This window comes from Homo sapiens, chromosome 1, assembly GCF_000001405.40.
Source record: "Homo sapiens chromosome 1, GRCh38.p14 Primary Assembly".
In the NCBI taxonomy this organism is placed as follows: domain Eukaryota; kingdom Metazoa; phylum Chordata; class Mammalia; order Primates; family Hominidae; genus Homo; species Homo sapiens.
The window spans coordinates 118,039,910-118,052,725 of NC_000001.11; the positions used below are offsets into that span (position 1 = coordinate 118,039,910).

Here is a 12,816-nt window from a genome sequence, read left to right on the forward strand (position 1 = left end):
CAAGGAGGTATTTGCAGGCCTTCTAGTCACATTTCAAACTCAATTTCAGAAGAGAAAATGAACTGGCTGAGGCAATGTATGCCTATAATCAATGTTATGATTCATCAAATGATATAATTAATGTTAAATGGTTTTGCAACTTATAAAAATTATGTTATAGTAGCTATTATTATTGTGGTCGTTAATAAAAATTTTTCCAACAACGCATTCTCTTTTTTAGTGTTTGGACTCATTTCCCTTCTTTTTGTTTTAAAAAAATTGGCTATTTCCTTTCAATTTGGATTGAGCTATCATCCCTCAAAATTGACAGAACTAGGAGAAAATATTGAATTTACTACGAATCACCTGAAACTTATACGCATTGTATGCATATGCAAATCTTAGTAAGAGCTACAATAGGTGGATATTGGAAGCAGGTCCCAAACTCTGTGCTCCAGAGCTACACCAGAAAAATGCTGTAAACTCACAGAATGCACTTGGCTTCTGGGATAACAAGGTGTGCTGTAATGAATATTATTAATTAATTGCTTATTGCAGTTACTATTACTATTTACCAATTGTATGGAAGTATTTTAATATTTTAACAACTGGAATGGTCATATTAGCATGTACCAGCTAAACCCTTGACTGGCCTATGCCTTGTAGAGTCAATTATAATAGAAGAAAGTGTGAAGTCTGAAAATGCTGACTGTGGCACCTAAATGTATTGTGGGGGACAGAATAACACTCTCGCCTATCAAACTCAGGAGTAGAGGGCCCCTGGTTATCTGAAATGCATTATTATGTTTCCAATCATTAACCAGTTGCTTTCAAAATGTACCTTTTTCAAACATTGTCTTTTCCACTTCAATCTGCCCCCCATCAGAAGGATACAGGTAGTAATTTGACCCTGAGATTTGAGTGGGTATATTTCCCATATTGTATCCGTGAAACTAGAAGAGAAAATATTATGCTTTGAGTGTGAAGCTGCAATAGACAAAAAATCAACTTATCAGTGTTAGCCAACTAAAGTTGCCAGAAGCTTAATTTCTGCTAAGTGATATGTCTGTCACTTTGCAGACTCAGAGGCCAGTGTTCATATTATTTTTAGAAACATCTATGGTGTTATAACAGGCAGAATTAAGATCTATTATGTTAAACTCTGTTCATTGGCACATTCTCATAACCTAGTGAAAACTGAATCATCATACTGTTGTCAAGGCAGTTCAAGAAGAAATCAAGTTCCCATTCACTGGTTGTTAATTTTCTGTTTAAAGTGAACTGATGCTGTGGAGAGTGGACACTCCACTTTAGGAGGTCATATGTAGAAGACATTTTTTACTGAGTGTTGCTAACAGAGGTCCAGGGGATTTAATGCATGCTAAAACTTGAGAACAACTGTTTTAGAGGAGTAGCTACAAAGCACAGGGGATGTTAGATTTCTTTCCATTTTTTTTTCCCATCAGGTTTCCCTCATAACAGCTAGCTGAGAGAGAACTGGCAAAGGGAAGGTTTTACAAAAGCATACAAGCCAGAAACATGATTGCCCACAGAGACAACAAAATGTAGTCAGCAAGTCTCATCATCTGAGACAGATAAAGCCAACTTTTGTGTTCACTTATTTACATATATCTATAAGAATGCTTTTGTGTCAAATTTCTGTGTTTATTGACCTTAGCTAGGTTCGTGGCACTCAAATAAAAACTGACCTGAGGGTGTTTTCATCTTGATGATTGGTTAGAAACAAGGTTCTAGGTATCAGGGGTGGAATACAGGTTTGAGCTCATTAATACCAGAAGAAACCCTAGGCCTACTGTGGGGTAGTGAAAACAAAAGAATCTTATAATAACCGTATTTTCCCAAAACAATTAGGAATAGCCCAAAGAGACTAAGTTTTACAGAATTGGAGTTTACCGGGTAAGTTATCTTAGGTTCTGGTTGGTGGGGGGACTCTTCTGTTACTTCTTGGATCTTGACTTGTTCTTCTTTAGATTTCTCCTTGTAAGGTGATTTTTTCTTCAAAGACCTACTATCCTCTTTCTCTGCGTTATCCTTGCCTTTCTTTTTACCAGCTTCTTTACCCTTCTTCTCTGCTTTCTTTTCTTCCCTTAAGCGCTCCTCTTCTGCTAATCGATGTTGCTCTTCTTTCCATGCCTGTAAACACATTTAAGAAATTTAACAGGATTTTTAAACGAATTAAACATAGGTTCCATTCAGGTTCATTTTGAAGAATATTTAACATGATTTTTGTTAGTGTATCTCTGACAAATCAAAATACTGAACTAGAAGCCTTGACGTCATCCTTAATTCTCTTTCTCACTCAACTTCTGTCTGCTAAATCCTGTCAATTCCCCCTTTGAGATCTCTCCTCACTTCAGCTTCTTCTCTCAGGGTTTATTTTGCAATTTCCTTCGTTCAGGTCTTCATTATCTTTAGCCTGGACCATTGCAGCAGCCTCTTAACTGGTCTCCCAGTCTCCTATCCTCCACATGAGTCCGATCTTTAATTTAGGTCCTAAAGATAGTTTATTAGCAGTGTGGAAGACTAGATGTTCAGAGAAACATTCCTGGGATAAAATAATTCAAAAATGATGGATAACATAGGTAAAATGATGGAGGGTAAGTCTCCCCTAAGCACTCCTAACCACAAGCCTGTCCTCACATAGACTTGTGGCCAAAATACAGATTACCTTAACATTTTATTTTAAAACAGTCATCGAGGCAGGAAAATAGGGTCTAGAGGCAGGGAACATAAGGCTGATTCACACTTCAGTTATGACAGGAAATATCCTCTCCTAGGGTGTAGGCCAAGTGAACGACTTTATAACTTTACTTCATTCTCTCCATTTACATAGAGCATACCCCAAGTAACCAATGGAATCCTCTAGTGGGTACTTAAATTCTCAAAAATTCTGTAGTGGGGCCTTTGAGCTCCTATGCCTGGAACTACTCCCACACTGTGGTGTGTACTTTCATTTTCAATAAATCCCTTCATTCCTTCCTTGCTTTGTTTATGCATTTTGTTCAGTTCTTTGTTAAGACGCCAAGAACCTGGACCCTTCCACCGTTAACATTATGATTTGATATAAGCTCACAAATGAAAATCACAAAACATGCAGAAATAAACCACTTTGAGTAAGAAACAAACTGTGAAATCATATCTACAAAGACTACAGATATTGTAATTGCCAAATAGAGAATATAAGGTAAGTTTTAAAACATGCTCAAATAAATAAAAAGAAGTATTAAAAGCATAAGTAACAAAGAGAGGATTATCAAAAATGGCAAAGTGAGTTTGAAAGACTTCCTGAAAATGGAATTGAATTTTTGAAAAGGCAGTATTTGAACAGATAATGCCTGAGACATTTCGAGAGTTGAAGAAAGACGTTCATCCTAACATTAAGGAAGACCAATAAATCAAAAACAGGAAATAACATTGGTGTATCGGACCTAGCTCACATTAACTTAAAAGAGATTATTGTTAAATTTTTAGAAATTTTGTGAGCCAACTGTTAAACATGACCATCATCTAAAAATTATATAAATTTGCAATTAAGCAAAATATTAAAAACAAAGGCAATAAAGACTCAAAACTTACCACAACGTAAGTATTTTGTGACATTTCACTATTGTCTATGCTCTGGAGTTTATTTATGTCAATTGTAATGGTATCGTGACAACATTATATAATGGTGTGCTACTGCATAGCACTGCCAACTTCAGTGTTGTCACATGGTAGCTTCAAATCAGCTATTGTAGGGGTACTTATACTAGAAATATCAGCAAATGCTACAAGTCAGGACTGATTGATTGTTTATTATCTAGATTTAAGGAAGTGATGGAGATCATGTTAATAATGCAGACTAGCTGTTATATTGTTACTAGCACAGAAAGTTGAGGAAATATTCGTCCAGTATTAAAAAACTATTACTTGACTCAGCAAAAAAGTTGCTAATGTTATTGACAAATGAGTGAGACATATCCTTTCTTTGTTTCACTTTTGTCTTACTTGTTAACATAAATAAAAATATCAACATTCATATTAGAACTACATGTATTTATCAATTGTAATCATAGGTTGGCTAAGGATACAACAATTTAGCAAAAATCAGTTTGTAGAAATCAAAATGCTATCTGGAATTTATGGGTAGCTATATGGAATTTACATAAATAATATTATATGCTTTATTATTATATGTAAATTTTGTACTATATATACTGTGTGTCAGAAACATTTATAACTTATGTACATATATGTATACTTTTGTTTTCCTAGAGAGCTACTGCTTAAGCATTTACCAGCACACCGCTGAATGTTTTCAGAGCAGCTAGAGAGAAAAGATGAACTGTCCACTTTGGGAGGCCAAGGCGGGTGGATCACAAGGTCAGGAGTTCGAGACCAGCCTGGCCAACATGGTGAAACCCCATCTCTACTAAAAATACAAAAATTAGCTGGGTGTGGTGGTGGGCGCCTGTAATCCCAGCTACTCGGGAGGCTGAGGCAGGAGAATCACTTGAACCTGGGAGACAGAGGTTGCAGTGAGCCGAGATCGCACCACTGCACTCCAGCCTGGGCAACAGAGCAAGACTCCATCTCCAAAAAAAAAAAGATAAACTGTCCATAAAAGAATGACAAATTAGATGGACAATCAACTTGTTAACAGCCACAATGTGTCAGCAAGGAAAATGTGGAAAAATATCTTCAGAGTTGATACGGCTTGGATTTGTGTTCCTGCTCAAATCTCATGTGGAACTGTAATCTCCAATGTTGGAGGAGGAGTCTGGTGGGAGGTGATTGGATCATGGGGGCAGATTTTCCCCTTGCTGTTCTTATGATACTGAGTGAGTTCTCAGGAGATCTGGTTGTTTAAAAGTGTGCAGCACCTCCCCCTTCATTCTCTTCCTCCCGCTCTAGTCATGGAGGATGTGCCTGCCTCCCCTTCCCCTTCAGCCAGGATTATAAGTTTCCTGAGGCCTCTCCAGCCACGTTTCCTGTACAGCCTGAAGAACTGTGAGCCAATTATATCTCTTTTCTTAATAAATTACCAAGTCTTAGGTAGTTCTTTATAAAAATGTGAGAACAGACTAACACAAGAGTGATAAGAGGAAATTAAAAAGCCAACCAAGGATTTTATAAATGAAAACTATGTTTAATGAGTAAGGGCAAAATAAAGTCATTTTTCAGATAAGCAAAAACTGAGTTTAATAGCAACTGTGATATTGGGGTATAATAAGAAACAGATATTTGGTCATCATTCCTGGCTACTGGCACAGAGCCCCTAAGTCCCTTGGAATTTCATAAGTGATAGGAGCATCTTTTGCTCTAATGAGGCAACTCTTGTCATGTTCTTCAGGATAGGATGTAGGCTGTCCAGAAAGACCAAACCTTAATTAGAAGTTTGGGACTTTCAGCCTCATCCCCAAACCCCTCAGGAGGGAGGAGGAGCCAGAGATTGAGTTAATAATCTATCACGCCCACATAACGAAACCTCCGTAAAAACCTCTAAACAACAGGGTTTGGAGAGCTTCTGAACTAAGTTGGTGAATGCATCCATGCTCTGGGAGAATGACACACTCCACTTCCATGGGGACAGAAGCTCTTGTGCTTGGGACTCTTCTGGACCTTGCTGCATTTACCACTTTATCTGGCTGTTCATTTGTATCCTTATAATATCTTTTTATAATAAACCAGAATAGTAAGCACAGTGTTTTCCTGAGTCTTATGAGACATAAGCTTTCTAGCTAGTTATCGAACCCAAGGAGGTGATTGTGGAAACCTCCAAATGAGTAGTCAAGTCAGACAGAAGTGTGCATACTCTAGGCACCCAATACTTGTGATTGGCATCTGAAAAGGAAGCAGTCTTGTGGGAGTGAGTTAATCTACGAGGTCTGTGCTAACTCTGGGTAGTTAGTATCAGAATGGAATTTAATTGTAGGACACCCAGTTGGTGTTCGGAAAGTTGCAGATTCAGTCGGTGTGGGGAAAAAAACACCCACAAATTTACTTCAGAAGTATTGTGAGTAAAACAGTTCAAAGCAACAAACCCCAGTAAAAGAACTTCTAGAGCAAATACTCCCAGAACATAAAGAAGAAATGCCCAAGAAAACAAATGGTAAGCACGGAGACAAAGTTAAAACAACATGGACTATATAAAACAATTACAATGAGGCCAGGCACGGTGGTTCACGCCTGTAATTCCAGCACTTTGAGAGGCCCTGGAGGAGGTTTGCTTGAGGCCAGGGGTTCAAGACCAGCCTGGGCAACATAGTGAGACTCCATCTCTACAAAAAGTTAAAAACTTAGCTGGGCATGGTGGCACACTGCTATAGTCCTAGCTACTTGGCAGGCTGAGGCAGGAGGATCATTTGAGCCCAGGAATTTGAGGCTGCAGTGAGTTATAATCACGCCACTGCACTCCAGCCTGGGGGACAGAGTGAGACCCTTTTCCCAAAACAAAAAATAAAATATAAATAAATAAATAAATGAAACAATTACAATGATAATGTTTAATTTGTAGCAACACAAAAAAATCAAGATAAAACTTAAGCCTCAGTTTAAATCATTTTAATAGTTCCTGGTATTGTTCTGAAAGAAAAAAATATTTCATTAAGTTTAGATTTTATTAAATTATACTGAAATTAAGTTAAATTGAAATGATATAACAAGTTAAATTTCTAGAGCAACCACTAGGAGGAAAAAAAAGGTGCCTACATATTAAACTTTTCCTATAAAGGGCCAGAGAGTCAATATTTTAGGGCCAAGAGGCAAAATCAAGGACATCCATGTAGGTACTTATGCAATGAGAGAGAAAAGAAATTTATACAATTATTTTATGACAAATAATTGAGTACAATTTTTAGTAACAAGAAAAATAGAATTCTTTTTTTGTGTGTGGGGGGAATAACATTTCACTTATTTAGAGTGAATATTAATGTTTCCTATTATCAAACTGATGCAAAATGTAAAGAGGAAAATAAACTTAATACAAAGAAAGCAAGAAAGGAGGAAAAGAAAGGATCATAGAGAATATATAAAATAGGTTAGTTGAAGAAATCCCAAACATGTCATTAATCAGAATAGATATAAATGGAATCTACTCTCCTGCTAAACGTGTGTTCATCAGACAAGATTTTTAAAAATCTAGTTTATAGTCCTTGTTTACAAGAAACACACTAAAAATATAGTTTTTGTTGCTCTTGTGAATAAAATTTATTATTTGTTACATTTTCTAATTGGTTATTGCTGGTGAATAGGAATGCCAGTGATTTTTTTCAATGCTGATCTTGTCTACACCTGCACTTCCTCAATTCTTTTTAAAGTCAACACAGAGTGACATCAGCAAGATGGTGGAATAGGACTTTCCAGAACTCATCCCTCACAGAAACACAGATTTTAACAACTACCCACACATGAAAACACCTTCACAAGAGCCAGGAAAACCAGGTGAGAGAGTATAGCATCTTAATGTAGCTTGGAATTAAGAAGACCAGGCTGGTATCTGCAGATCACCCCTCCATGCCTGCCCCAATGCCAGGCCAGCCCCTGCAGACTCAGGCTCTAGGCCCACCTCACTGCCAGGCCCACCTCAGTGGTCGCGTACTCCAGGCTGCCTCTAGCATCAAGCTGGCTCCCCATGGCCCCAGGCTTCAGGCCTGCCCCAGCAGACTCAACCTCTAGGTCCTTCCTGGTGCTAGGACAGTCCTCAGATCCCAGACTTCAGTCTGGCTCATGCAGATCCGGCTTCCAGGCCCTCCTCATTGTCAGGCCAGCACCCATGCTCTCCAGCTCCAGACTGGCCACTGCTGACTCAGAACCCAGTCTGCCTTAATACCAGGCAAACCTCTGCAGCCCCAGACTCCAGGCTGGCAAGTGCAAAACCTATCCTCCAGGAACCCCCGGCACCTGTCAATATCCATAGACCCAGCCTCCAGGCTGGCCCCTGTGGACACAGACTCCACAGTGCCAGGCCAACCCCTGTGGCACCAGGTTTCAGACCAGCCCGAGGCCTCATGTTCCAGCAGACAAAAGGTCCAGGCCTGCTCTAGCAGACTGAGGTTCCAGGCCCATCCCAATAGACCTGAGCACTGGGCTGGTTCCTGTGAACCTTGGCTCTAGGGCCACCTCTGCAGAGTCAGGTGCAGGCTGGCTACATGGTTCTAGGACCCAGGCCTGTCCTCATGGCTCAGCACCAAGTCAGCCCCATGCTCCAGGCTGGTGCCGAAAGCCCCAGGCTCCAGTGGACCCAGGCTTGCCTCCATGGACTCAGGCTCCATGCCCATCCTTGTGGACCTATTTGTAGGCCCATCTAAGTCTCTGACCAGTTCCTGCAGACTCAGGCTCAAGGTCTGCTTCAGTGTCAGGTCAGCACTCAAGGACCCAGACTCCAGGCCCACCTCCATGAACCCAGTCAACAGATTTACCCCAGTGGACTCTGGTGACAGGCTGGCTGCTGCGGATTCAGGATCCAGGCTTGTCAGAGCAGACCTAAGCTCCAGGCCCACCTCAGCAGACCCAGGCTTCAGGCTGAAGCCTTCAGATCCAGAAAAGATAAATAAAATAATTCAACTTTTTGTTAAAAAATTAATGAAACTAAGTTTGTTTCTCAAAAAGATAAACATGATGAACAAACTTTTAGCTAAACTAAAAAAAAGAGAGATGACTCAAACAAATAAAATTGGAAATAAAGGAGGAGACATTACAAATGGTACCAAAGAAATACAAAGGATCAGCCGGGCGCAGTGGCTCACGCCTATAATCCCAGCACTTTGGGAGGCCAAGGTGGGCAGATCACAAGGTCAGGAGTTCGAGACCAGCCTAGCCAATATGGTGAAACCCTCTCTCTATTAAAAATACAAAAATTTGCCAGGCATGGTGGTGTATGCCTGTAGTTCCAGCTACTCGGGAGGCTGAGGCACAAGAATTGCTTAAACCCAGGAGGCAGAGGTTGCAGTGAGCCGGGATTGCACCACTGCACTCCAGCCTGGGCGACAGAGCGAGACTCCATCTAAAAAAAATAAAAATAAAAAATAAAATACAAAGGATCACAGAGAGTACTATGAATAATTACACATCAACAAATTGATAACCTAGAAGGAATGGATAAATTCCTAGAAGCATACAACTTACCAAGACTGAGTCATGAAGAAATACAAAACTGAACATACAAATAACAACTGAGAGACTGAATCAGTTATAAAATGTCTCCCATCATGAAAAGCCTAGGACCTGACGGCTTTACTAATGAATTCTCTCAAACATTTAAAGAACTAATACAAATTCTTCTCACCCTATGAAAAAAATTGAAGGGAAGAGAATACTTCCAAACCCATTTTATGAGGCCAACATTACCCTGATACCAAAGCTAGACAAGGACATTACAAGAAAATAAAATGACAGGCCGTTGTCCCTGGTGATGTTAGATGCAAAACTCCTCCAAAAAATTCTAGTAAACTGAATTCAACAGCACATTTGAAAGGCTCATTCCTCATGATTAAGTGTGATTTATTCCTGGGATGCAAAGATGATTCAACCTATTCAAGTCAATAAATGTGACATGCCATATTACAGAATGAAAGATAAAAATCACATGGTCATCACAATAGATGTGGAAAAAACATACGACAAACTCAAATATCCTTTCATAATAAAAACTCTCAACAAAGTAGATAAAGAGGAAATGTATCTCAACACAATAAAAATGTCCGTGCTACCCAAAGTGATCTACAGATTCAATACAATCCCTATCAAAATTCCAATGTCATCTTTTCACATAAATAGAAAAGTATCCTAAAATTTGTAGGGAATCACCAAAGACTCCTAATTGCCAACACAATCTTGAGGAAAAATAAAAAAAACTAGAGATATTGTTACAGTAGGTAGCTAGTCAGGCATGAGCAGGGCAGATGTGGGCTGCCCCCCATCACACACAGCAGGAATGCCAGATGACCATCAGGTGATGGCCAGGCAGTTGTTAACTGTCTCTCTAAAATAATAGGTGGTCACAGCTGGTGCCAGGGAAGGAGGCATCTCCCAATAGATGGAAAACACCTGAAACTGGTGATCAGCAGCTTCCCAGCGAGACCTCAGGAGTTGGGTGAGTGGGCTCAAATATGTGCATTAAGAGGCAAAATAGTGGAGTTTAACTGGTATATGACCTTTCTCTAGGAATGCTAGACTGGTAAGGGAAGAACGCCTCAAGTAAGCATGTGTACAACTCTAGAAACCATACTGTGCATGCTCCCCTCCCAAGTGCTAGCAGGCCACCGCACATGTGGACAGCCCCACCCCAAGGGAAGAATCATGGGAGAAGTGATGCAAGACCCTGGAAGTATGCCAACATTTAAAACACCAAGTCAAAAGGTCAAACTGTGCACTTGATCTCTCAAGTCACCTGCTTGGCCTTCTTCCAATTGTACTTTATTTCCTTTCATTCTTGCTCTAAAGCTTTTTAATAAACTTCCACTTCTGCTCTAAAACTTACCTCAGACTCTCCTTCTGCCTTATGCCCCTCAGTTGAATTCTTTCTTCTGAGGAGGCAAGAATTGAGGTTGCTGCAGACCCATATGGATTCACCACTGGTAACAGTATCACACTACCTGATTTCAAAATGGTTAGCTATAAAGCTATGCTAATCAAGACACCATGGTACTGGCATAAACACAGAGATCAATGGAATACAATAGAGGGCCCATAAATAAATCCACACATGTACAGTCAATTCATATTCAGCATAGATGCCAAGAACACAAAATTGAGGAAGACCAAGTTTTTCAATAAATGGTGCTGGGAAAACTGGATATCCACATGCAAAAGAATGAAATTAGACTCTAATGTGCATGCACAAAAACAACACAAAATGGATTAAAGACTTAAATGTACGTCCTGAAATTATGAAACTACTTACTAGAAGAAAACACAAGAGAAATCTCTGTCACATTGTTCTGGGCAGTGATGTTTTGAATATAACCTCAAAAGCACAGGCAACAAAAACAAAAATAGACAAATGGCATCACGTTAGACTAAAACCTTCTGCACAACAAAGAAAACAATCAACAAAGCGAAGAAATAACCTATGGAATAGGACATAATATTTGAAAACCTGCAACTGATAAGGAGTTAATATCTAAAAATATACCTAAGGAACTCAACTCAGTAGCAAGGAAACAAATAACCCAATTAAAAAATGAGCAAAGGACCCGAGCAGACATTTCTCAAAAGAAGGCTTACAAATGTCCCACAGGTTCATGAAAAAAAATGCCTGGCATAACTAATCAGCAGGGAAATGCAAATTAAACTCATCATGAGATACCATTTCACACCTGATAGAATGGCTATGAGAAAAAAGACAAGATAATAAATGTTGGGGAGGATGTGGAGAAAAGAGAACCATGGTACACTGATGATGGGAATATAAATTACTACAGCCACTATTGAAAGCAGTATGGCGGCTTCTCAAAAATTAGAATTAGAAATACCATATGATCCAGCAATCCCACTACTGGGTATATATCTAAAGGATTTGAAATCAGTATCCTGAGAAGGTATCTGCATGCCCATGTTTATTGCAGCATTATTTACAATAGCCTAGATATGGAATCAACCATATCTAGGACGCTTACATCCATCAACAGATAAATGAATAAAGAAAATTTGAGATACACACACACACACACAGTGGAATACTATTTTATGTATATATTCTGTAATACTATGTATACATATATTACATTATGTACATACTGCATTATGTATTATGTATGTGTATATACACAAAATACATAATATATAATAGTATTATATAATAGTATGTATAGTTATAATATATAGTATAATTACAATATATGATATGGTTTATATATTATATATAGTATAATATAATATAACATAATACTATTATAATATATAAACTATATAATATATACTATTATAATATATGAACTATTATAATATATAAACTATATATAATATATAATATGTACTATTATAATATATAAACTATTATAATATAATATATAAACTATTATAATACATAAACTATTATAATATATATAATACTATGTATACATATATTACATTATGTACATACTACATTATGTATTATGTATGTATATATACACAAAATACATAATATATAATAGTATTATATAATAGTATATATAGTTATAATATATAGTATAATTACAATATATAATATGGTTTATATATTATATATAGTATAATACAATATAACATAATACTATTATATATAAACTATATAATATATACTATTATAATATATAAACTATTATATATATAATAAACATACACACACAATGGAATACTATTCAGCCTTTAGAAAGAAGAAAAATCTGTTATTTGCAGCAACATGGATAAGCCTGGGGGACATGACATTAAGTGAAATAAGCCAGGGACAGAAACACAAATAGCACATGATTGCACTTATATGTGGAATCTAAAAGAGTTGAACTCACAAAAACAGAGAGTAGAATGGTGGTTACCAGGGGCTGCAGGAAAGGGGATCGGGAAGATGTTGGTCAAGGGATGTGAAATTTCAATTAGACAGGAGGAAAAAATTCAAGAGATCTATTGTACAACATGATGACTATAGTTAATAACAGTGAAATGTATACTTGAAAATTGCTAAGAAATTAGATTTTAAGTATTCTTACCACATAAAAATAATAACTACGTGAGGTAATGCATATGTTAATCAGTTTGATTTAGCCATTTTATAATATGTACATAATTCAAAACATTATGTTGTACACCAGAAATAGATACCATTTTTTCTCAGTTAAAAAATAAGTAATAAAAATATGTTTTTAAAAGCCAACATAA

At 37.7% G+C, this 12,816-nt stretch overlaps 1 protein-coding gene across 15 annotated transcripts in view; it reads right to left on the reverse strand.

The window, feature by feature from the left end:
- SPAG17 (sperm associated antigen 17) overlaps positions 1–12,816 on the reverse strand; it is a 231,639-nt gene that overhangs the window by 86,320 nt on the left and 132,503 nt on the right. For 14 of the 15 annotated variants that reach the window (XR_946574.2, XM_006710427.4, XM_006710426.4 and 11 more), the window contains 2 exons: positions 1,894–2,133; positions 821–932 (listed from right to left, as the gene is read on the reverse strand). Coding sequence is in view for 13 of the 15 variants with exons in the window: in XM_006710427.4 (XP_006710490.1) it covers positions 821–932; positions 1,894–2,133 (352 nt within the window). In the remaining 2 variants the exon portion in view is untranslated. Of the gene's footprint in view, positions 1–820; positions 933–1,893; positions 2,134–12,816 lie in introns of those variants that run through there. The other variant, XM_047448758.1, reaches the window with a different exon arrangement.